Source organism: Homo sapiens, chromosome 2, assembly GCF_000001405.40.
Source record: "Homo sapiens chromosome 2, GRCh38.p14 Primary Assembly".
NCBI lineage: Eukaryota > Metazoa > Chordata > Mammalia > Primates > Hominidae > Homo > Homo sapiens.
This window is the reverse complement of record NC_000002.12, coordinates 143,213,092-143,239,497: the sequence shown is the minus strand read 5'-3', so window position 1 is coordinate 143,239,497 and position 26,406 is coordinate 143,213,092. Positions and strand designations below refer to the sequence as shown.

General features: G+C 36.3%; 1 protein-coding gene across 10 annotated transcripts in view; it reads right to left on the bottom strand.

The window, feature by feature from the left end:
- ARHGAP15 (Rho GTPase activating protein 15) overlaps positions 1-26,406 on the bottom strand; it is a 638,934-nt gene that overhangs the window by 528,855 nt on the left and 83,673 nt on the right. For 9 of the 10 annotated variants that reach the window (XR_007078554.1, NM_018460.4, XM_017004500.3 and 6 more), the window contains 2 exons: positions 23,053-23,114; positions 10,830-10,917 (listed from right to left, as the gene is read on the bottom strand). Coding sequence is in view for 9 of the 10 variants with exons in the window: in NM_018460.4 (NP_060930.3) it covers positions 10,830-10,917; positions 23,053-23,114 (150 nt within the window). In the remaining variant the exon portion in view is untranslated. Of the gene's footprint in view, positions 1-10,829; positions 10,918-15,325; positions 21,198-23,052; positions 23,115-26,406 lie in introns of those variants that run through there. The other variant, XM_047445111.1, reaches the window with a different exon arrangement.

Sequence of the window (26,406 nt, the reverse complement as noted above, 5' to 3'; positions counted from 1 at the left end):
AAGCAGAGAGTAGAATAGTACTTACCAGGGTCTGGGGGTTTGGGGGAAGGGTATGGGGAGATGTTGCTCAAAGAGTACAAAATTCTATTAGACAAGAATAATAAATTCTAGAGATCCATTGTACAGCATGGTAACTATAATTAATAACATCCTATATACTTAAAAATCACTGATTATATTTTAAATGTTTTCATTGCACACAAAAAATTAGGTAATGGAAGTGTTAATAGCTTGATTTAATCATTCCACAATGTATACATGCATCAAAAGATCACACTGTACTTTTTAAAAATACATTTTTTTTCTTCCATTTTTAGGTTCAGGGTACATGTGCAGGATGTGCAGGTTTGTTACATAGTTAAATGTGTGCCATGGTGGTTTGCTGCACAGATCATCCCATCACCAATGTATTAAGCCCAGCATCTATTAGCTATTCTTCCTGATGCTGTCCCTCTCCCCACCACCCACCTCCAACAGGCCCCAGTATTTGTTGTTCCCCACACTCTATCCATGTGTTCTCATTATTCAGCTCCCACTTATAAGTGTGTTTTTCTGTCCCTGTGTTAGTTTGCTAAGGATAATGATTTCCACTCCATCCATGTCCCTGCAAAGGTCATGATCTCATTCCTTTTTATAGCTGCACAGTATTCCATGGTCTATATGTACCACATTTTCTTTATCCAGTCTATCATTGACAGGCATTTAGGTTGATTCCATGTCTTTGCTATCGTAAACAGTGCTGCAATGAACATACACGTGCATGTGTCTTTATAATAGAATGATTGATATTCCTTTGGGTATGTACTCAGTAATGGGATTGCTGGGTCAAATAATATTTCTGACTCTAGGTCTTTGAGGAATCACCACAGTGTCTTCCACAATGATCAGACTAATTTACACTCCCATCAACAGTGTAAAAGTGTTCCTTTTTCTCTGCAACCTCACCAGCACCTGTTGTTTTTTGGCTTTTTAATAATTGCCATTCTGACTGGTGTGAGATGGTATCTCATTGTGGTTTTGATTTACATTTATCTAATGATCAATGATGTTGGGCTTTTTTTCATGTTTTTTGGCTGCATATATGTCCTCTTTTGAGAAGTATCTGTTCATGTCCTTTGCCTACTTTTTAATGGAGTTGTTTGTTTTTTCTTGTACATTTGTTTAAGTTCCTTATAGACTCTGGATATTAGAATTTTGTCAGCTGAATAGATTGCAAAAATTGTCTCCCATTCTGAAAGTTGTCTGTTCACTCTGATGATAGTTACTTTTGCTGTGCGGAAGCTCTTTAGTTTAATTAGACCCCATTTGTCACCATTTGCTTTTATTACAATTGCTTTTGGCATTTTCATCATAAAATCTTTGTCTGTGCCTATGTCCTGAATGGTATTGCCTAGATTTCATTCTAGAGTTTTTATAGTTTATTTAATAAATGTGGGGAACTGGGTAACCATATGCAGAAAATTGAAACTGGACCCCTTCCTTACACCATATACAAAAATTAACTCAAGATGGATTAAAGACTTAAATGTAAAACCCAAAAATATAATTTTTAAAAAGTAAAAATTGCCAGTTGTTGGCTCTGATTAAAAATACATATTAGTACAATGTAAAATAAAAAACATAAGAGTAACAAAAAAGTCCCTTACACAACCAACATATAGGCTTTCTACTGAATATACTGGCTTTAGAACCACACCATTTTAGGGGGAAAATATTCCCTAAAATGTTTACAATGTTTTTGAATTTATATCAAAAGTGACACTAAATTTTCTGAGCAGTGTGTGATGAATATAATAGAAACGGTGGCTCTCATCCACCCAATTGGTGACAATGAGTTCCACAGCGTCTGATTGTTGGTGGAAAGACTTCACACAATGCATTTGTTTAAGTAGGGTGTGACACTAAACAGATGTTCTGGAGTCAGATGGAAGCACCAGTAGGTTTGCAACGGGTGCTCACTGAGATGGTGACACACCTAGTTCTTGGGACAGCATGTTTTTCGCTCTCCTTAGATGGATAGCTCTGCTTGTTCTCTTTGCACTAGAACGTCTTTAGAAATGGCCATACTGTTGGAGGTCAGAGACATATGAGAATATCAAAATATTTTGTCAGTGAAAAGATGTCCTGTGATTTACTAAATGCATTGAGCCAAAATGATGACACACAGCCGTTTTACAATTTTCTCTGTCGTAAGAGCTCAGGCCTTATTGCTCACATCTATTTGCATAAATTTTTAGAACATGTCTCTCGGATAATTTACCAAGTCCTGCATGTGTTTTTAAGTTATATATACACAAAATTAAGAGAGACTTAATTTTATAGACAACTGATATATATATCAGTTCCCTAAACATGTCTCTGAAAACTCTGAGTCTCTCTTAATTTGAGAATATTTCATATTGGTTACAAAAACCCCACATTACCTACAGAATGAAATGATCTCTTCTCCCAATCCTGTTCAAAGTCTTTCCTAAACCGGTTCCACACTGACTTTCTAACCAAATTACACTGTTTGCTGTTCCACAATGCTGTTCCGCAACTTAGTCTAAAGCTGTTCCTCACTCCCAGGCAACTTAGAGAAGAAACACAAAATACTCTGGACTAGGAAATATTCACTCCAGGCCTCAGGGAACCCCCATTCAAACATTTCAAGAACAGTGACTAGTACACAGTGCATGGAAGAAGGCAAGAGATCAATATACATCTGTAAAATAAACAACAAAAAAAGAATTTTCCATAGTTCACTATTAATTACTCTCTTATTAGTACATAAAATATCTTTTGCCCCCTTTTACATCAAAATCCTATACATCCTTCAGAAATGTGCTCAAATGTCACTTCCTCCATGAATATATTTCAAATCCTGTCCAAATGGAAGCAATCACACTCTTCTCTTGAGTTATCATAAAACGACGCCATGTCTCTGTTCATGCCATTTTAGGACAACTACCAACATCCATTTCTTCACTATACTCAATCTAAGGCCATACTTTCTATTTGTTTCAGTCTGGTTCATTTTTTATCTTTCAGAACACCTATCGTAGTGACTTAAACATAAGAGATGCTCAATAATATTTGATATAATAATATCAAACAGTAATATTTGAACAAAAGGAGAGATACCTAAGCTGAACATGACTTGCAACAATAGTTTCTCTGGAAAAAGACTACCTATAGCTAAATCTATGGTTCCATGGCATGTTGTCTAATATTTTTTAACACTTTAGTCATGGTTTTATTATAATAAACCTATACAAAATTATGTCTCTTTTACCATATTGTGAGTACTTTAAGAGCAGGGATCATATACTATTCATTTGAATATTTCTGTTGCCCCTAATGTAAAAACAAAACAAAACAAAAAGAAAAAAATTATATGACACCTGGTAGGAGTTGTTAACTGTTGAGAGAATAAATGAATGGATGTTCTAAATTGCAGAGCTTCTTCTCTATGATGCAATCCATCAAATGGGTTTTGTTTAACCAAAAATGGAGATTTGCCAAATCCCATGAACATGGTCAGGTGCCTCCTGAACACATCAAGCAGAAGCTCTAAAATCACAAAGTACAGCAGGTACTTAGGAGTCAAGCTGCAAATGAAGTGCTAGAGTCAATTGAAATACTTCACTGATACTAAAATAGGAAAGTGTACCTGAAAAATACAAGGAGTGTGAGTCAAGGCCTGAGAAGATAAATCAAACAGACAACTCCTGATTCTCTAGTACTTCTTTAGCACCAGATGAAACAAACACTAGTGTGGGTGCTTTTGAGGAAAAAGTTTTCACTTCTGCAGTAAATGAGATGAAGAGCCTCGAAGAAGGAGCATCCTCTCTTGCTTTGGCCCTACAATAGGCCTGGCTCTTTTAAGACACATACCACTGACTAGTACTGCTGTTCAGTATATGTTTGTTAAAACAATAGCCATGACAGATTATTCCAGAATGAAGACACCTGGAGAACGCTAACACTACTTATTAAAAATTTGTCACTCAGCAAATCTCAGGCCATGAAACTCTTCTCAATCCTTTTCTCTTATCCTATCTTCAAACCAAAACAAAAATTCATTTCTCCTTGTTGTGCACAGGCTCTGTCCATTCTCAGTTTTATGCCATTGTTCATGTTTTTTATGCCCCTGCACTCCCTCCCTACAAATCTCCACATATTCAAATTATAACGGTCCTACAAGGCCCAATTCAAATCTTTCACAGATGTGAGCTCGCCTTCTTCAAAATCTCAGTGGAAAAAAAAAAAAAAACAACTCTACTATGTTTCTTATTTCATCTCACCCTATTTTTTGGCAGAGATTTTATAAGGCAAAGACTATATCTTGATTATATCTCTATGCCTTATATGTAGCCCTAACGAGCAAGCTGTTCATTGTAGAATTTCAATACATATTCTTATGAAGTCTTTTCCCACCAAGATTTATATAAATAGCACAAACTTGATTAACCAAATGCATACTTAACTTGAAGTGAGGTAGATTGCAATGAGAAGCTATGTTTTTGGATCAATTCTCCCACTGAAAACAATAAAAATGCTGGATAAAATATTTCTTTTTAAAATTACCCCTTAAAAGAATTGAAAGTCTGAAAAGACAGTGGGACTGCCACTGTAAATATTTTTTAGGGGTGGGAATATGAATTCAGTGAGGGAAGCTGAATATCAAAGTAACACAACTGCATTTTTCCTGAGGTCATTTGTTTATACTACACATTTGAGCTTTGGTCAATCAAACCCAGAATAATGGAGCAAGGTCCTGGCCAAAGTGTTATAAAGAATAAGGGAGAACCGATATTAAACTTGTGGCCTTTCTCCAAACCGAAGGAAATATAAAGAAGACTGTTTTGGTAGATGAGCAATGTAAAATAAGAAAATAAGAAAAACTGAAGCACAATCTTGTCCCTGAGAAGTGGCAGGATAGCTACGGCCCTCCTATTATGTAGACATAATTGGAGAGTTTTATACTGTTAATTTAGATTGAGATAGTCAGTCTCTGGGAATGTCCCAAACCTCCTGAGAAAAATCTAAAATACTCTGGAGTAGGACACATTTATCCTAGGCCTCAGAGTGCCTCCCATGATAATATTTCAATAACAATGATTAGCACACAGTCAAAGATAACCAGACACACAAGAAAACAAAGCAACATAAGAACCAGCAGAAACATACTGACACAAATTTAGATATTAGAATCACAAAATACAGATTATAAAACAACTATGCCTCCTAGTTATAACAAAATAAAATAGAGTCTTAAAAAATGCCTGCAGGAAAAAATTAACTCTAACAATATACATAGTACATTTTTAAAAGAAACAAACTTCTAGAAATAAAAATTACAATAATTGAAATTAAGGAGAAAGAAGAACTGGAAGATACCTAAAGAGAAATTATTTGCAATGCAGCTCAGAAAGACAAAAATATAAGAAAAATGAGAGTGTAAAGCATTTAGAGAATACAGTGAGAAATTTAACATGGGTTTAACTGAAGGTTTAGAAGGAAATGAGAGAGGGAATGTAAAAAGGGCTACATTTGAAAAGATAGCCATTGGGCCTGGTGCGGTGGCTGACACCTGTAATCCCAGCACTTTGGGAGGGTGAGGCAGGCAGAGCACTTGAGGTCAGGAATTCAAGACCGGCTTGGCCAACATAGTGAAACCCTATCTCTACTAAATATACCAAAATTAGCCGGGCTTGGTGGTGCGTGTCTGTAATCCCAGCTACTCTGGAGGCTGAGGCTGAGAATTCTTGAACTTGGGAGGCAGAGGTTGTAGTGAGCCAAGATCATGCCACTGCACTCTAGCCTAGGTGACAGAGTGAGACTTCATCTCAAAAAAAAAAAAAAAAAAGATAGCTATTGGAAATTTTTTGAAATATATTAATGACAGCAATCAATAATTTTAAGAAGCATAACAATCCAGGCAGGAAAAATAAAAAGAAACTGACATCTGTATGCATCATGATGAAACTGTAGAAAAACAAAGGTAATGAGAAAAATATTATGAGCAATCAGAAAAGATCAGTTATATTAACAGGTGATTTGATTTTAAGAATGGATAACAGAAGACAGTGTAATGATATTTTTGACATGCTGACTGAAAATGACTACCAACTAAAAATTCTATATTCAAAGAGAATATATATTTCTAGGATGAGGGAGAAATAGAGATTTTTTTCAAGTAAGCAGACTATGAGATAGATTGTCCCTGCAAGACCCTTAGCACAGGAATTTCTCAGAATATATTTCAAGCAGAAGAAAAAGTGATCCTAGAAAGCAAGTCCAAGGTTCATGGAGAAATAAATAGCAAAGAATGTGGCAAATATTAGGCAAATGTAAACAAACATTGACTCCATAAAAGAGAATAATAATGTCTGGTGATATTAAAAAAATTAAAACACCAGATGGTAATAACATATACATTGAGAAAGGGATAAATTGATTAAAAATATTCCAAGGTAACATCTTAGTAGAAGGTAAAGGGTCTCACACTAGCTTTATTTGTTGATAAGTACTAATGCTGTAACCCTAGGCTAACTATACTAACAGAGCAGAAACAAAGTGTATCCTCCCAAACTAGTAGAGAAAAGAAAAAAATGGAATGATAAAATATTAAAGGACAGAAAAAGCAAGAAATACTTAGTGAAAGAAGCAAGAAACAAAAGAAACATACACTAGGATTCCATTTATATGAATTAAAAAACACCTAAATTATATTTTTAAGGTATATAGCTATAGGTTTGAAAATAATGAAAGGCAATGAAATAATGACTAAAACGCAGGTTCTTGGCTAACTCCAGAGAAGGGAAGAGGCTATGATGACAAAGGGACAACTGATAGGGGTTGGGGCTTCTGAAGGGCTGGCAGGGTCTATAACTCATCCTGGGTAGTGCTTATGCAGGTGATTGATTGATACCTATTAAAAATACACATAGATGTTTTATACATTTTACTTAAAATGGTTTCTGTATTATTTTATAATATTTTAAGTGAGTTATAAATAAAAATACATTAAAAATATGAGAATATGAACACCATCCTTTCCTTCATAATTCAGGAAATCTGGATCTAGGGACACGAGTGGTTTTCCTCCTCACTGGAGGACCAGCCAGTCCCGATCCACCTGTCTTGATGAGCAAAAGAGAGAGTATGTTAGGCAAATAAGGGGGACAGTTTTCTTTTTGGTAAAGGGTGTCTTTTATTCTGATAATTTTATCCTTTCTATTTTTTGGATTGGGTATTTTATAATGTCCTTTCTGTTATAAAATGCTGATGATAGTAGGTGGTCAGTTACGATTTAATGTCCTTTTCATAAAACAAGAACAGAATAGGTCATTCTTCCTTCTCCTTTACTAACTCACTGAGGTACCTATGAATCTCTATGAAAATAAGCAAAGTGATTCTGTGCTTATTTGCACAGTAAGGCTGCTTTTGATAAAAATGTGACTTGGATATTTTTAAGGATTGAATGTTTGTGTTACTCTAAAATTCCTATGTTGAAACCTTAAACCCCAGTGTGATGCCATTAGGAGGTAGGGCCTTTGGGAGGTAATTAGATCATAAAGGTGGAGCCCTCATGAATGGGATTAGTGGCCTTATGTGAAAAGACACGAACGTCTGCTCTCTCACTTTCTGCCCTCTGCCATGTGAGGATACAGTGAGAAGACAGGACAGATGCAAATGAGGAAGCAGGACCTCAGCAGACACCAGATTCACCTGTGCCTCGATCGTGGACTTCCCAGCCTCCAAAACCAGGAGAAATAAATGTGTGTGGTTTAAGCCACCCAGCCATTGGTACTTTGATGTAGCAGTCCTAACTGAGTAAGACAGATATGAACTGGAAGAACTTCAGTGAGAAAGGAAAGTAACCAAACACAGAATGTGGGGTCAGGCAGAATACTTTGTAACATGCTGTATTAAATGTGAAAACAGTAAGGGTAAGAGCCAAAGGAAGAAGATGGGGGCACCGGGAAACTTTGTATGGACATTCAAGAGGTTAACATCTAGAGCCCTAAATGGATGGCTGGCTTTATTTTCAGTATTAGTCATTGCTCTGAGACAGCATTTTATGCTACTTCTGGATACATTCTTTTGGAGGTCATGCATGATGGAGTTTCTTGAATTAATTAGTATATTCTCTCTTCTATAAATGTCTGAATCAGGTCAAGTACAAAACTAATGTAATAATATAATTATACTCTCTATTGTGTACTATAGAATATGTTATATTTCTGTATTTAATAGCATATGATATAATAAAGCACAATAATTTTTTGTTCATTATGTATTTGTTTTTACCAATTAATTTCATTCCTTACTAATTCTGTTGGCAGGTATCACTATGCCCATTTCACAGGTAAGGATTCTGAAGCTCAAAGAAGTGAGTAATGTTATCAGCTAATGAGTGGTAAAAAAAAAAAAAAAAAAAGGAATTACATCCCCTAGAGTCCAACTTCAAAACTGCTCTGGCTGGTTTTGTTGCCTTGTCTCACTGCTGCATTAACACTTAAAGATCATTTGTATAAGGACTAAAATACCATTTATTCTTTTAAATCACATTCTGCACTCACTCAGGCAGCTTGTCTTGACCCCTAGGAGGAAAGGGCAGACTTTTTTCCAGAAGCACAATGAGCAACACCAGAAAAATTCTAAGGGGGTGCAAGAGAAATTCAGAAACTTGAGCATAAATCTCTTTCAAAATAAAACCACAGCATCTTTAATCAAGGCCTGGCAATCGTTGTATCGTTTCTCTAAGACTGGAACTGGTAAACGTGGGCTATCCCACTAGGCCTTTAATACTGGGTTAGAAATGGATCCAAGAAGTTGACTAGCAAGTCAATTCATGCAGCACAAACATAAATCTGTAATTCTCTTACCCATTACCACAAAACACAGTTAGTTCCTGCCATGAATTGACTTTGAAGACAATGAGTGCCTGGTAGAAACCATAAGAGCATTAAAAATGGGGCCAGAAGTAATAAATAAGGACTCCTAGGAAAATGTTAACAAATTTCTTCTACAAGTCAAGTCTATTGTCAACTTACAACAGTTCTGAAGGTTGAACGAGAGGCATGCAATTAGTGAGCTAACTTGCAAGATTTGCCTGCAATCAAAAAGGGAGTTTTCTTTCACCTGTATAAAATTTAACAGCTGATAATTATATCTCATGGTATAAAGAGATTAAAATAATAAAATAAAAATAAACCAAATGCTTTAAAATATGGAATCTTATCTCTCCCATTATCCCACACATTCGCATAAACTCTCCTCCCAATGGAATTCTTCTCACTCAGCAGGGGAAGATCATCTTTTCAGCAGCCAAACTCAGCAAGGCCAGCGACTTTCCTCCCCTCCTGACTTCCCCCTTAGAGCTCATTCAAAGGGAAGACAAAGGACCTGCAAGTGGATGGTAGTTGTTTTGTGCCTGGCCCTTAGGGGTACTTTATTTTCCTTAAAAAGATTATCTCAACCTTACTGTATCCAAAAATAAAAACAAAATAAAACCCTAAAACAAATTTCTGAGGCAGTTTAAATTAAAAATACAAAGGACTGAGATATATTTTTAATTTATTCATAATTAGTTTACAGATCGGACAGCACTGAGACTCCAAAATCAGCAAGCCACTTGGGGATAAAGGCTACTGCGGTTATCAGAAGCAAGTCAAATGCTACCTTTTGTTCTTACTAAAATCTTCTTTTAAGAAAAATCTCCTAGCAAATGATTTTCTATTTTCTATTTAAAGAGGATTACATAGCAAACACAACTAGTGGCTGGAGAGCAAAGAACTTCCCATCGTTTTATTACCTGTCAAATACAAATTAGTTCATTGTGGGTAACTCCTGCCAGGCGACCCCTTTCCTTATCATCCATCAGGCCGATGGGCTGTGGCAGGTTAGTTCCTGCCCGGAGTCCTTCCTAATCAGGAGGCTGTCAGATATGTTGCCTGCCCACTGTCTCCTACATCTTGTGGTAGCTCTTGTGTTTGGGCAGCAAGGTTTTGAGCTTGAATTGCCCCAGTAACTGGCTCCGAATTGCTCTTACTTATTATCACTGTCAAATCTTTGTAGGTATATGTGAGGCCCTCCTCCAGGTACAAGGAAGAAACCCTACAAATTTCACTTTGTAATAACTACAGGATACAGAAATTGTATTAGCTCCATTAGATGGAGTCATAGAAATATTCAAAAAGGTTAGCTGGATATAGTGAACGTCACAGTTAGACGAAGATAAAAAATCACTTGGCTAATTTAGAGTGTTTCCTCATTGGTAATACCCTATATTAAGGTGCCATTTATAAACAGTTTATTATTATTTATTAATGTCTGAAGCACTTTATAGCATGCTAGATACCAACTTAAATTCATGTATTAAAGATGCACATACATGGTTTAATATGATTTACGTCTTATAATATTCTTTAAAACAGCTTCCCATAGTATCATCCGTTAAGCATTTATTACTAATGCATTTTATAACATACTTTATAATACATTATTTGAGCAAGTAGCTGCATTTAGTGATCATTTCATAAATAAGAATAAGGCATTTATAAATGGCACCTTAATTTAAAGTGTTACCTTCGCATTACTACATAGCTGCTCACCATACATCTCATTTTGTGATTATTCTCCAAATGCACCACTTAATAAAACAGACACTAAGTTCTATTTTCCCTTCATCTGATTAAAAGTTTATTGAGTCATTTTCTCCATCTGTTTTCAGATGTTGGTAGCTTGGAGGTTTTAGTGTGATTTCTGATAAAACCAAACTTTTAATTCTACAATATTTCTGAAAAGATATTTAACAATAGAAACAGAGAATTACTTACCATATTGGACAGAGCCTGTTGCTTGGATTCTTTGTAAAATTCAATTCTTCGACTAGAAAGAACAATCCAGGAAGTAGACCAGTTTTTCCTTAGGACAAAAAAATAAAAGGGAAAGAAAGCATTATCAGTTGAAGAAATCATTTATAGATACAGTATGAGCAACATTTGGAATGAGTAGAGACCATCTTTATTTTTAACAGTCTTGCTAAAAGTCTCCTCTTTATTAAAATCTATAAGTGGTATGGAATTTGGGTAATAATAAAGACATTCTGGAATTATTTAAAAGTACAGCATTTATAGTAAGAATTTCTTAATTTATAGATCCTCCTAATATCTTTTTCAACTACCAAAAATCCATTTTTTGTGTATCCATGTGCATCCTTCCCATAAAAAGTTTATGTTTTTACAGCAAACCAAAAATAGCAAAGTAAAAATAGGAATCAGAACCTATTCCTTCCTTCATTGTTTCTTCTCTTCATTGGTTTAGTGTATTTCAGTCTTAAAAACTAACCAGCCTCATGTGTCATTGCTTAATTCAAAATATTTTCATAATGTTGAATCTTACTAGAAATCAAAGAAATGCAAATAAAAATAGTGACATGCTTTTTCCCTCTTTGTACATCAAATTGTCAAGGAATAAAAGAACTAACATCTGATAACATCTAGGGATAATCACAGTGTAGGAAATAGATTCTCTCATACACTATTGGTGGGAATGCAGACTGTTGCTTCCTTTCTGGAGTGCAATTTGAAAATGTGCTTTTTAAAAATCCCTAAAAATGTGTATATCTTTTGGCTAAAAATGTCCATTCCCTACGAATTTAAATTTATTCTAGAGAAATAGTCTCACAAATTGCCGAGTCTGTATGCATAGAAATTAATTGCATCATTACTTGTTAATTCCATACATAAAATATAAAAAAGATAGGTTAAATAAATTGCATATAATAGGTCCATATAATGGAATAATGAACCCTATGCTGTAGAAGAATACTGATGTGCGAAGGTTTTAATGCAGACCATAATACACGTAGTTTATAACCGTGCTGTGCTATTTACCTAGGACTTTCTTCACCCATACACTCCTTCTGATTATTAATTCCATTAATTAGAAGTCAAAACATTGCTTTGTCATATGTGCCTTCCATGACTTCCTCTCATAACACTTATGATAAATTTAAAAATATTTTTCATAAATTTCACCTCTATCCTCCATTAAGAAATGAGCCTCGAGATGGTAGAAATCAGTTCATCTTTACAAAGGTATCCACAATGCTTAGCATGGTGCCTTGGACAGAATAGACGCAAAATACATATGTATTGAGTCAATGACTGAACTTTGGCCTGGAAAAAAAGTCTTGATATGACAGTAGTTAAATCAAGTGGTAAAATCGCGGCTTTTGAGTCTCCTTTGTATTTCTTGGTGTTTACCAAGTTTTCTGCATTGAACACATATTGCTTCTATAGTTAGAATATATATATGTTCATGTCATGAAGGCACTCTTTTGTAGATAGTAAAGATATTAAGGAGATTAATATACATAAGTTTCTACCCATTAGAGCATATTGCTGCAGTTTGCTTCAGCTTAACATTCACTTCAAAACAGTTGAATTCATTTCACAAAAGTGATTTTTTTTTAAGTTTATGGAAAGACTTTATTCAGGTCAATAGAAAACCACACCAAAATACTTTTTAAATGACTATTGAAGATCTTTGCGTAATTTATTTCCACTTGTCTTTTAGAAACTAAGAGCTTGATTGAAAGGACAGCTTTGATTCAGTAAGGTTAATATTTACAAAAAGAATTAGGTTGCTCTTATATGCCTGGAGCTTTCTTAATGATACACCATTGTGTTAAAAAAGAACAGAATAAGCAGACACACAAGAAGCACAATGTGTATTTTTCAACATCCAAATACAAACACTGTGTTCTTGGACCCACTTGTCTTTAAATGAAGAGTATCAATTTTTCAATTAAATAATGAAAAGATGAAAAAACAAAACCCAGAAAGAAAACCACACAGACGTTTCCTTCTGCCCTAGTGCCCATTTTGCCTTTTAGGTACCAGCAGCAGCAGAGTGAATTGAAGCAGCAATAGCCTTCTCTTCATTCAGGTCATAATAATAGATTACTCCAAACAGGAAAAAGAGAAAGATTATTAGAAGTCTAGTCTGGGCATCTTTTAACACCACCCTTATTTTGACCATACGTGGTCAGGGAGTACAGAACACCCTCACACACGAAGAATCCATATTTAACCTACCTATTATATTTCCCACTATACATTTCATATTCTCACAAGGAGACACTATACCTTATTTGCATCCTATCTATAGTAAGTCCTGGATAAATGGCTCTGATTTGGATCTGTTTCAGATGTTGATCATTTATAGAACTTGCTGGCAAAAACTCTCCCCATCCTTAAACTTGGAAATGGAACTGGTTAGAGCTGAAGTTGCATGAAACGCAATTATCTCATTGTTCTTTATAAGGACTTTGAACTGCTGTGAACTGTGTGCCTGTTAGGTGAATTGGATGAAAAAACTGAAGAGGGTAAGAACTGCAGGTCTCAAAACCTTAGCAACATGACTTGCTCTGACGCCTTATGTACGGTGCTACTTTGTTTTGAATTTATAAACTATAAACACTGTCTATCTTCTCTGAATAAAAGTGAAAGCTTTTCCATGGGCTCAGTGTTATTGCTTGAAAAGAATTTCATTTCAAAACGAAGAATAATAATGCTGCTGACAACCTTTTAGATGTCCTCTTTCATCTCGATTTTTTCCCATGATTCTTTTAAAATAATAATTAGCATAAATTATTTAGAATACCTAGCGTAAACCTGATCATCTAGTTTATGCTTAGCTTCATACACAAAAATGATGAAAGTACTAACATCTCTATTTACTAATATGAAAAATGAGGCTCAAAGGGTAACTTAAGGCCTTACACTTAGATTTAAAGTTAAACCCAGTTTCTCTAGCTCCAAAACCTATAATCTGTTCGTTACTTTATGCTGTCTGGTTTTTGTTTTGTTTTGTTTTGTTTTGTTTTGTTTTTTGAGACGGAGTCTCGCTCTGTCGCCCAGGCTGGACTGGAGTGCAGTGGCGCAATCTCCGCTCACTGAAATCTCCGCCTCCTGGGTTCATGCCATTCTCCTGCCTCAGCCTCCCCAGTAGCTGGGACTACAGGCGCCCACCAACACGCCCGGCTAATTTTTTGTACTTTTAATAGAGATGGGGTTTCACCGTGTTAGCCAGGATGGTCTCGATCTCCTGACTTCGTGATCCGCCTGCCTCGGCCTCCCAAAGTGCTGGGATTACAGGAGTGAGCCACCGCGCCCGGCCGCTGTTTTTTTTTAAATCCAAATTTTTTTAATTTACTTTTTAGGGCCTCAATACATATTTTTTTGAATAACTGAAAGACATGAGTTTACACCTATCTGCCAGTGAAAAACAGAATTGGGTACAGAATTTGCAAAGCCCAGTGCGGAATAAAAATGCACCATTCCGTGTCCAAAAATTATGAAGTATTTTAAGACAGTAACAATCTAGCATTAAATCAAGGGCAGAGTCCTTCTGAGCATGGGGCCCTGGACGCACACCGGTGAAGCCAGCCCTAACTACATTATGACTTTACAACAATGGCCAAAGAATAATTTCTTTTTTATATACTGTTCAACTCCCACTTATGAGTGAGAACATGCGGTGTTTGGTTTTCTGTCCTTGGGTTAGGTTGCTGAGAATGATGGTATCCAGCTTCATCCATGTCCCTGCAAAGGACATGAACTCATCCTTTTTTTATGGCTGCCATGTCTGACCCATTGTGTTGCCCATAGTTCTTAGCATATCAGGGGAATAGCTTTCTCACCCAATTACTTTAACATAGTGACTCTCTCGTAAGGCATTGTCAGCTCTGGAGTGTGCAAAGGATCACTTGGCAAGGTTTTACCTTGACTTAAGGATTTGATATTTTCTATACGCAACCAAATCACTATATATGACCCTTATTCAATATATTAGGTGACATTTCAGGAAGTGGGCAACTCATACAAGCTTAAAAGCCTTAGCCAGGATAGGTGTGTCCAGCAGTTTCTGAGGAAACTTTGCAAATAGACTATTTTCTAGGATAAACACAGTTTTTGCACTAGGAAGTCCCTCTATGCCCCAAGCTCCCACAAAGAAATAGAAACCACCTCTCTCCTCTTAAGAGCATTTCCAGTACTGGGCATACTGTTTGACATTTAGTAGGTGATTATTAAAGATTTTTTGAGTAAAAGAGTATATGGCCTTTCAAATTTCAGAAAAAATCGAGATTTTTTCTGCTTTATGTTTGCTGTTCGTCATTAACAAGGACTGAAAAATTTCTTTTCCTTTCTCTGTTCCTTAGTTTCCTAGTAGTTATTAAGGTATTCTTAGCATTATTTTTTCTTAACTATCGAACACTTCTGATATAGGATATTTTTTCCTAATTTATGCTTCTAGTGTCCAATACCTGAGCTTTCTCCAGAGGGCTTCCCACGCTGAGCTTGCACTGGCTTCTGCTCTGTTCCAGGTATGCCACCTGGCATTTTATATGCACTATGTGATTTAATTACTAAGCTGGTCACATGTCTCCATTAAACATTTACCACGTGCCAAACACAATTCTAAGGGCTGAAAAGAGATGGAAAATAAGACATTCCTCAAAAACTGTACTTCTAACTACAAGAAGATGGACAATAAACATGGAAACCAAGTCTTCTGAATGAGCCTAGGATACTCCCATATTACAGAAGAGAAAACTGAAGCCCAGTAAGGTTGCATCCTAACCAAGGGAAAACAAGCCATAGAGATGGGATTCAGGCCCCTGCTCACTCCAGTGTCTCCATGGTCTCTCAGCAGGTGGCATGCAGCTCTCTCTGTAGTCACTCTGAGCATGCCAGTTGAGAGCCTCATGAGAGGAGCTAAGAGGGGGAGATAAGGAACACTTGTCAGGGAAGTACTAGAATCTCTTTCTCTTTGGAGCAAAGCCATGTCTTAGCCTGACCTGGGCCATCCTGCAATGCTGAACTGCGAGCCCTTTATCCCTGTCTTCCACCCCTATCATGATGGTCAGCAGGCAAATTCACCCACTGACCAATCAGTGCCTCCACATTTCATCATAACTTTGAGAGAATAGTTTTCTATTTTTTCCACAGAGAGACAAAAATTAAGGTGTTGGATAGACTAAAGGGGTAACTAAGACACACAGTTCAGGAAATATCTAACTTTAGTAAGACAGTCCAAAGTGCCAAGAGTAAGGGAGACAGCCATCAGTTTCCACAGGAATTTACAGGTAACAATCAGGTAAGGGTTTGATCCTAGTGATTCCATGCAGGAGACAAATCCTAGGGCAAGAAATGCCAAGTGTTGGGCCAGGTGCGGTGGCTCACACCTATAATCCCAGCACTTTGGGAGGCTGAGGCAGGTTGATCACTTGAGGTCAGGAGTTTGAGACCAACTTGGTCAACATGGCGAAACCCAGTATACTAAAAACAGAAAATTAGATGGGCATGGTGGTGGGTGTCTGTAATCCCAGCTACTTGGGAGGCTGAGGCAGGAGAATCAATTGAACTAGAGAGGCAGAGGCTGCAGTGAGCCAAGTTCGCGCCACTGCACTCCAGCCTGGGTGACAGAGCGAGACTCAGTCTCAAAACAGAACAAAACAAAAAAAGAAATGCAGGTATTTATCTTATCTTTTGACATACAAAACAAATTACATCTAAGGGGAAAAGGGGTGCTAACTACAATTGGGAAGTAGGGAGAACTAAATTTCTATGAGGGCATTTATGTACCATTTATGCAATTGGTGGGACATTTTATCCAAGTGAAACACTTCATAAAACTTCCCTAAAGCAAATCCTGAATTGTGAAGTTGGAAAAATGCAAAAAAAACTAGCAGACAAATAGAAGTACAAAAACAAAATCAAAGCCCAAACAACAACAACAACAACAAAACACCCCCAAAACAAAAACAAAAACAAAAACTCAACAAAGCCATCAGCTTGGCATTCTACAAAATGGACACCGGATGGCAGCACATAATAACAGCAACTTTGATTGTAACAGCTTATCTGGAAAATGCTTGATGAAAAATGGCTCTTAAAATATTCATTACCGTTATAAGAATCTGTTAGCTTAAACTCCGGGTTTAACACATTCATTTGCTCTAAACACCAAAAGCTTTATATCCTACGCTTACCTTTCTTTTGCCTTCTTTAGGTAATGACAGAGTGGCAAACCAAAAAGTCAGAAGAAAATATATGTGAGGTTCCTTGACAAATTTCAGGTTCTCTTATTTGGTCCATCTGCCTTTGTTACCTAACTTGGTCATGCTGGATTTGACTTGATTCCACACCAGTGATGGGAGTGAAAGTAATTTATTCTAATGTCCCTGATTGATTTACCGCAAAATCACTCAGACACTGTTAAACGTACAGACTCATTCTCAAACTGGTTGGTCTAGGAACTTACTTCTTCTGTCTCATATTCTAAGCATCTTGTAATTTATGACTGCTAAAAGGTGGGTCAAAAAGACACTGAGGTGTAAAAATACCCATCTCTGTCAGTATTGCAAGAAAATGAAGAAAGATTCAGCCTGGAAGAATTTATTGCGATACTGAGCAGAAACTACTAAAGAAAAAATATGATGACGTTAGGCGCACACCTTAGTCTCACATTCCAAAGAAAGTCCATTCTGAATAACAACTGTTAAAACAAACAAACAAAAACCCAACCGAAGGCCTAGTAGCTATGGGCCCTAGGATGAAAGCAGGCACTAGTAGACGTAACCACTGCACAATCTTTTTTCTGCATTTCTTTTCGTAGCCATCTTCTGGCCATATTTTCACCCCCAAGTATATCTTTCTATGTCCATCTAAGGAGAGAAGAATGTGACTCTATATTGTGGTAAGATACGCAGAGCCACACAGGAGCTGATGACGGGAAGACCTAGATGCCGAGGGAGAAGAAAGTTTGTGGTGCTGAGACTTCATAAACATACTGTCAGGTGTATTTTGTAAATGTAAGCATTGAAAATAACTTTTTACTAAGGTGTCATAGAGTTTCAGAGAAGCCAGGGTTACTTACAGGTTTGGGGACGGAATTCCCCAAATGAAGAAATTCCTATGGTTCATCAGATAAGCTAAGGCATAGTTTCAGTGTTCACAATTAAAAATTAAAGTGAATGCTGAATGTATTCTGTTTTCAAGCCTGTCAGTGTATTGTTGGGGAAATGTGTATAACCTCATTTCAAAATAAGGCTAAAGGTATGGCCTCTTATGAATGTCAAATATAGCCAATAATTTATCTTTCCTTTTACCATCTCCTGCTTATATTCAGAGATAAGTTAAATTTTCTTTGAGAGAAAGAGAAAATACATTAAAGAGACAAATAAAGACACATAAAAAAGAAGAGAAAGAAGGAAAATAAGAAGACAATACAAGGTATGATGATCTATTATGGATTTATAAGTAGAAAACTTGATAGAAATTAATAAAATAATACTTATTAAGTGACAATTGAAGTACCTGGTACTGTTGATGGCATGAAATAAGAGGACCATTTTTGCTCACTAGTCTCAAATAGCTTAAAGCAAGAGAGATAAAGCAAACGTGTTTCAAGCAGAGGTCAGGGCTAAATTCTGTGATACTAACTATATATAAAATAAGATTTGGGAGAAATAAGAGGTTAATACTGTTGACTGAGTTTCTCCATTTATACAATAGGAAGCAATAATAGAGTCTATATTGTAGTATCATTTAAGTATTACTGATAAAGAATTCAGCCAAGTGCTTGACAGAGTAAGCATCTATTAATATTGCTTATTAATTCATTAAAATTTATAAAAGATACAAAGGTCCTTGATAAATGAAATGAAGGCTATCAAATTTTATATAAGAAGCATAAATTATAGTATGTTATATTATTTATTAGTTACTAAACTATCAATGGGATAAAAACTACATAATTTTTCAAGGTTATGACTAAACTGACCATTTTTGTTGCTAGTGATAAAAGCATATACACTCCTTGGGTAAGCAATATGGCAGTGCATACTAAGATTCATTTAAAATGGTCGTGTGATTTGATCAAGTAATGCAGGCTTAGCATTTGTCTTTAGAAAATATAAAAGAAGGCTGGGTGCTATTGCTCACGCCTGTAATCCCAATACGTTGTGAGGCCAAGGTGAGTGGATCTCTTGAGCCCAGGGGTTCCAAACCATTCTGAGCAACATGGCGAGACCCAGGTCTCTACTAAAAATACAAAATAATAGCTGGGCCTGGTGGTGTGTACCTGTGGTCCCAGCTACTCATTTATCCCCGCATAAGGTGGGTGGATGGATGGGGGTGGAGGAGGCTGGCATCACTGCACTCCAGCCTGGGTGACAGAGTGAGATCCTGTCTCAAAAAACAGACAAAAATATAAAAGAAAAATTGACAAGCAACAGGAGAAATATTGCAATGATAACTTCTAATACAAATAATTTAATATAAATATAAAACCAGACTCAACTTAAAAATCAAGTAAAAAAAGAGGTAGGGATGATTTGGCATATTATAGCCTATCAACATAATGGGATTATCATGTTCTTAAACATGGTGATTACATATACAATGTTCAATTTGTATTTACAATAAAAACAAAACAAGCCCCATAAACTTGGAGGGGATATGTACAACATGTAAAATTGACAAAGCATTATTATCCCAAATATATTATGAGTTTCCTCAAATTATTGAATAAAAAAGCAGGAAACTCAATAGAAAATAGTCAAAGTTTATGAATAGACTCAGAATGCAGAATCTGAATGTCTCTAAACAGATAAAGTGATCCTCAGCTTCAATACTTATCAGTGAAACACAAATAAAAGCAACATTAAGGTAATGTTCTATGGATAATTAGATTGGATGATGCTACGTGCTGATAAAACTGTGGAAAGTAGAATCCCTTCTGTATTGCACATTGAACTGGTGTGAATTGGTGCACTCATTCAGGAGAAAGTGTGACAACAGTAGTCAGTAGATTTACAAATGTATGTGACTTACCACTGAGCAATCCTGTACTCCTGGAAATATTCCCCTGAGAAAATTCCTAACAGGTTCAAAGGAAACATATATGTGCGATTTATTGAAATGTTGTTTGGAATGAAAGGAGTTAGAGGCAACTTAGATGTCCACAGCTGGGAGACTGGATAAGTAACAATTCATATACAGTCATGCTTCACTTAATGATGAGGATATATTCTGAGAAGTGTGTCGTTAGGTGATTGTGTCACTGTGCAAACATCACAGAGTGTACTTATACAAATCTACATGGTAAAGCCTACCACACGCTAGGCTATATGGCATAGCCTATTGCTCCTAGGCTACAAACCTGTACAGCATGTTACTGTACTGAATACTGTAGGCAATTGTAACACAGTGGTAAGTATTTGTATATCTAAACACATCTAACCATAGAAAAGGTACAGTAGGCATCAGTTTTATAATCTTATGGGACCACAGCTGTATATGCTGTCCATCACTGATCAAAATGCCACCATGTGGCACATGACTACACATAAACGATGGCAAAGTGGCCAGCAATTGGAAGAAATGAACTAGATTTAAAGACGTTCATGCACTGCATAAAAACGTTTTAATCCACAATGGACGACATATAGATAGTAGTCCTATGAGACTGTAATGAAGCTGAAAAATTCCTATTGCCTAGCGACATGGTAGTCTTCATAACATCATAGCGCAATGCATTATCGTTTCCATGTTCAGGTATGTTTAGATACACAAATACCATTATGTTACAATCACCTACAGTATTCAGCACAGCAACATACTGTAAATGTTTGTAGCCTAGGAGCAATAGGCTATATCACATACCATCTAGGCTTGTGTAAGTATACTCTATGATGCTCACATGATGATTAAATCACCTAAGGATGCATCTCTCAGGACATATGCCCATCATTAAGAGACGCATGTCTCTATAGCACCATAGAAAGCTGCCCAAGAGCTAACATTGAATGAAAGTAGTAAGAAACATAATAAGGTTTATGATACAAAAATGTTTATGCTATATAGAACACATTCACACATACACAACTATACATTCTTTTTTGAATGCCACATATACAGCTAAATATAGATATATATGGAGAATGAGTTTGATAAACACACATTAAATACATTAAAATGAAGGTCTACAAGGGATTGAAGCAAGGATTGGAGACTGATAATAAAATAAAACCAGCTAGGGCTCTTGCCCAGAATGATAATAGCACAAGGCCACAAACCGAAGGATATAATCAGCTCAATTCTGTGCACCTGGGGTAACAACAACAGCAGCAACAAAAAAAAAAAAAAAAAAAAAAGGAAAACTAAAACATATAACTTTAAGTGGAAAAGGCTGAAAGAATGCATAATGGTATGCAAAGTGAAATAATAAAACAGAGTACAAACAAATGTTTATATTAATTTAACTGTAACACGGAAAACAGGAAAGTAACAGCAAATAAAACAAAAACACAATAGTATACAAATTGAATAAAACTACCTAAAAACATATTCATGTGAGTTGGCTGGGGGAAGGGACCTGTTCTTCTCTGCTTCCTCTTGACACTGCCTTCTGTATGTTATAAGGTTGGTTTACAGAGGGGTTATGGACAAGGATACTTTACAAAACCACACAGTAGAACCTCCTTCTGCTTTCTTGAAATTATTTCATTTAGGATCTCCCCTACTTCCTTGCATGAGGCTGGAGGGTGGAACTGACCAATGCTGTCACCTCTATTCTCCTACTCAGCTCTAGTGGAGGGCTGAACTGGCTAACTTAGATAATTTTGAAGAAACTCTTTATTCCACATGGCTGCTGAGGGAAGAAAGGGTCATGACTTACTCATCTTGGGGAGAGGCATCATTGTACCCTCCACACTCCTTCCTGAGTTGATAAGGTCATGATAAGGTTTAGGGGAAAGGAGAGCACTCGGGCTGGGCTACTCAAAGACTTCCTCCTGTTGTTCCTTCAGAACCCAATTCTCTAAGCCCAATTCACCACTGGGGAAGGGACTAGCCACATCTCTTAAAGCAACCTTGCATTTGATCTTGTCTCCTGTGCATCTCTCTCCTGAACTCTTCAAGGGAAGGTGGCTGCAGGGCCACTCCAGAAAAACAGTCCAGGCAAAGATTTAAGGCCTTGTTCACTATCCCAGAATAAGACACAATATGGAGAGAAAATAGAGCTTGTTATTTACAACTGAAATAGCTATTTTAAGTAGTGAAATTGTGGATGATTTCTCCACCCCCCTCCAAATTTTACTTTGTTTAAATAAATATATTAATTCATTATAACCATCAAACAAAAGCAGACTTTATTCTCTGGTGTTGACCCAGAGTGTCATTCTAGTAATGAATTGTATTATACAACTAACATGTGTCCCATTGTGTAGCTAATTAGTACATTTATCCTATTAATTTTAATTGTTAGTAATACATTTAAGAGTAAATGCCTTGTCTCTCAACTTGAGCATTTTCTACAAATTTGGTAACTTGCATATCACCCAGCACAAAGCTAAATATGTAACAGAACCAATACGAGAAATAGCAAAAATTCTAAAATGGAGGTGATTATTTCTAAACATACGGTATATACCACACAATTATCATCTTTCTTTACCGTCCTATCAACCTTACTTTTTTTCTTCAAGATTTTTGTTGTTATTGTTCTCTGAAGGTTCTTATTCCCTTTTCAAATTTCTCTCACCTCTGAATATGATGTTACTTTTATTTTATCAATTTCTATTTTGAGCTACAAAAGTGGTTCAAATCTTCCATCCTTCAAGAAATTATTCTCACAAGGTATTGTATAGAGACTTTTCTGTATTGCAGATGAATGCATTCATTCTCTAATCTTTCAATCACAGAAATCACAATCCATTGTCTTATTTATTTTCAGTGTTTTATGAGTTCAAGTCCAAGGAGGACAAAAAGCATCTCATTTATGTGTTCTGTTCGACAATATAGAATGTAGTGCCTTTCTTTAAAAACTGTAGTTCCATTAAAAATAATGTTGATCATAGCAGTAGCAGAGGAGACTGTTCTAGTCTGGTACCATAGGGACTTGCATCCCAAACAATAACAGTGGCACAAGTTTAGCATATGAAGAACCAGCATAGTTATATAAAAGTGAATTAAAGAATTTTATTACCTTAGTTTCTTTCCTCCATCTGCAATTTTAGCTTTTTGCAGATAACCTTCTTTTTCAACCATCTGCAAGAAGAATGCATATGTTAAAACCGTGACAAACTACTATGCATTGTTGATTTGAATAAACCTATGCTTTTCAAGAGTCATTGCAGTGACGGAAGTTTTCAGTCATAGAACTTTATTAATAATGCATATATAGCTTATGGGAAGTGCCTGCAAAATCATAGTCATTACAAGCTGTTAAATATCTAAAAGACAGACTATGAAGAGGAATGTGAATGATTTGTTAGATAGTGATACACCTTTATTGACTTTTCTTTCTGGGCGTTGAAGTCACTTGTTTAAAAAATTGATTGCAAATGGTAAAAGAAAGACAAATTGAATGCCTTCCTTTATTTTACCAAGTATCCTTAGAAAAGTTCTTCTTTTCAAGCCTCCCCATGTACCTTCCGAAGCCGGGATAAAGGAAGACTTCAATGGGACCAGGTAACTGAGCTAGTTGAATCATGGAAGGGCATTTAAAATAGCAACATTTCATATATTTTGGTCAATTGCCAAGATACCCTGTAGTAGCAGTATCTCATTATCTTCTTCCATGATGTAGGATTGCTTCCTTTTCCTATTTGCATATACTGTATTGGCTTTCATTTCTAATAGAGCTGCAAGTTTCTTAAAGGAAATTCAACAAGTCATTATAACTCCGCAGAAGTGTTTGCGGAGGTTTTGGCAAAATAAATGCACAATGCAAATTGTGATGGGTTGACTCCCTGCAAAGTCTGTACTAGGTGTTTTAATTTCTTAGCATCCTATTTCTACCCTCCTGTGTCTGCCTCACATGCCCCATCCCAAGTCGTTAGCCTTCATCTTTCACTCTTAGTGAATTGCCCACACCCTTCTCCCTGAGCTGCCTAGTATCAGAGGACCACACTCCCTCAGTGCCATCCCATGTTATCCCCCTAGCTGAAATAGTCCACCATGACCATGTCTTCATCTCACAAAAGTCTTAAGTATATTTAATCTACTTCAAAATTAAATTAGTAAAACCCAGTGAGGTGGCAAGTGTCTATAATCACAGCTGTGTGGGAGGTTGGGGTGGGAGAATCTGTTGGTCCTAGGAGTTTGACACCAGCCTGGGCAGAATAGCAAGAACCCCATCTCAAAAAATAAGAAGAAAACCAAATTTTAATGTGCACGTCTTTTTATTAGAGGGTCTTTCCATGATTTCTCTGCCATCTCTTTTAGGTGCACCATCCTGAATCTCCATTTTCAGTTTGCCATTGTCACTGTGACAGCACATATCAGATCATGTTGTAAATGTCATTTTATTTATCTGTGCCTGCAGGCAAATAATGTGCTATGAGTCCATCAAAGGCAAAAAACTGTACCTTTCACACCTGGATTCCTAGCTTCTGGAATATTTTGGTAGTGCCAATAGTCAAAATAATAAAACTGTTTGAACAAATAAGTAAATGAATGGCTATTTAAATGTTTATTTAAATATTTATAGTAAACTGGGCAAGCCAAGAAATTTATCTTCAATACTACAAGTGAAAGGAAGAGATATTTAGAGGTAAAGGAGTTGTTCCAAATAACTAAAATCTCACTGGTTAAATGTCTGCTCTGATATAGGTGAGAGTTTTTCTGCCTTGTTTTATTCCTAATACATAGCACGGGACTTAGTTTTAAAATGCATTTGATGAATACATTTTTGACTAAATAAATAATGATAGAGATAATAATAATGATGACTTATGAAAATGATAGCAAAGTGTTTTTTACTTATCTCCATATCCAGAAAGTTTCTTTTACTTCACCATGTTCTCCACAACTCTACAGCATCTAAGGAAGATTTCTTGGATAATTTTGAGAACCATGGTATTCACTGGTGCCTTTTTGTTTTGTATTTGGATACATCTATTCATTTGCTTTTTCCACATTTTATTCTATGTATACTGTCCCTTTTTCTTGGTGCCAGGAATTTTATTTTTCTACCTCGTAAAACCCATATAATAAATTTAGTGTTTAACTCTGTGTATCACTGGTATCCACAAATGTTTGGAAGAAAGATGTTTTCAATAGCAATTACCACCACAAAGGAGGTTCCTTTCTTTAGGAATGTATACTGAGAAATTTTGTTGTGTAACCGTAGAAAAAATTTATTGTTTTATTTAAGTTTTCTTCTGATTAACAGTTACCCAAAACCTGGATTTATCTACCAAAAAAACTACAAAAACCTATCAACCCATCATAAAAATTGATGCATGCGTTCTCTGCTAAAAATATAGCCCCAATTGTTTTTTCCAAAAATTCACAAAAGATCCCTCGGTAGACATTTGCTACCCACAAAGATAAATTATTGATGAAAATTTTTCTAAAAGAGATAGGAAATGTGAAAGGAAAAAGCTAATACTCTTATAGGGAGAAATCAACATAAACAGGTTTAAGGTGTACATCATAGAATTCTCTTTCTTTGAATACATAAGTAACATTTCCCCAGACACTGCAGGACTTTTCCCAGAATACTTGAGATTGATGCCAAGGGCTGGATTTCTCAAGTTAAGACTCAATAAATGTGACATCATTGTCATCAGTGGCTGAGCCAGTTCCATGGTCTTGGATCAATGCAATAGACTTTTCAGGAATGATCATACAGAGGTCCCAGGAAAAATGAGGACGGACTGAATAGCAAGTTAGTTATCTTCTCTTATATCATTTTCCAAAGTCAGGCTGCCTTCCAGGTCATTAGAAGAAGCTAATAACGCTTCTGCTATGTTCTATTACCTACTACACTTGCTACCACCATGCATATTTGTTAAATGTTTACATGCAGATTTCTACACGTAGTATATCTATGTCCTACCACTGTGCACACATTCTCACTTCTGAGATCAGGTGTTTATTTTCCTTCATCTTCTTTATTTTATTTTATTTTTGAGACGGAGTTTTGCTTTTGTTGCGTGGGCTGGAGTGCAATGGCGCAATCTCGGCTCACCGCAATCTCTGCTTCCTGGGTTAAAGTGATTCTCCTGCCTCAGCCTCCCGAGTAGCTGGGATTACAGGCATGTGCCACCATGACCAGCTAATTTTGTATTTTTAATAGAGACAGTGTTTCTCCATGTTGGTCAGGCTGGTCTTGAACTCTCGACCTCAGGTGATCCACCCACCTCGGCCTCCCAAAGTGCTGGGATTACAGGCATGAGCCACCGCACCCGGCCCTTTCATTGTCTTTTTAATACTTGATGTACACTTATTCATTCTTTTCAACACATTTTTAATTAATAACACTTCTTTCCTCTAAATGCCAGCTTCTCTGCTTACAACAGAACTGGAAAGATTAATAGGACAATTGTAATCC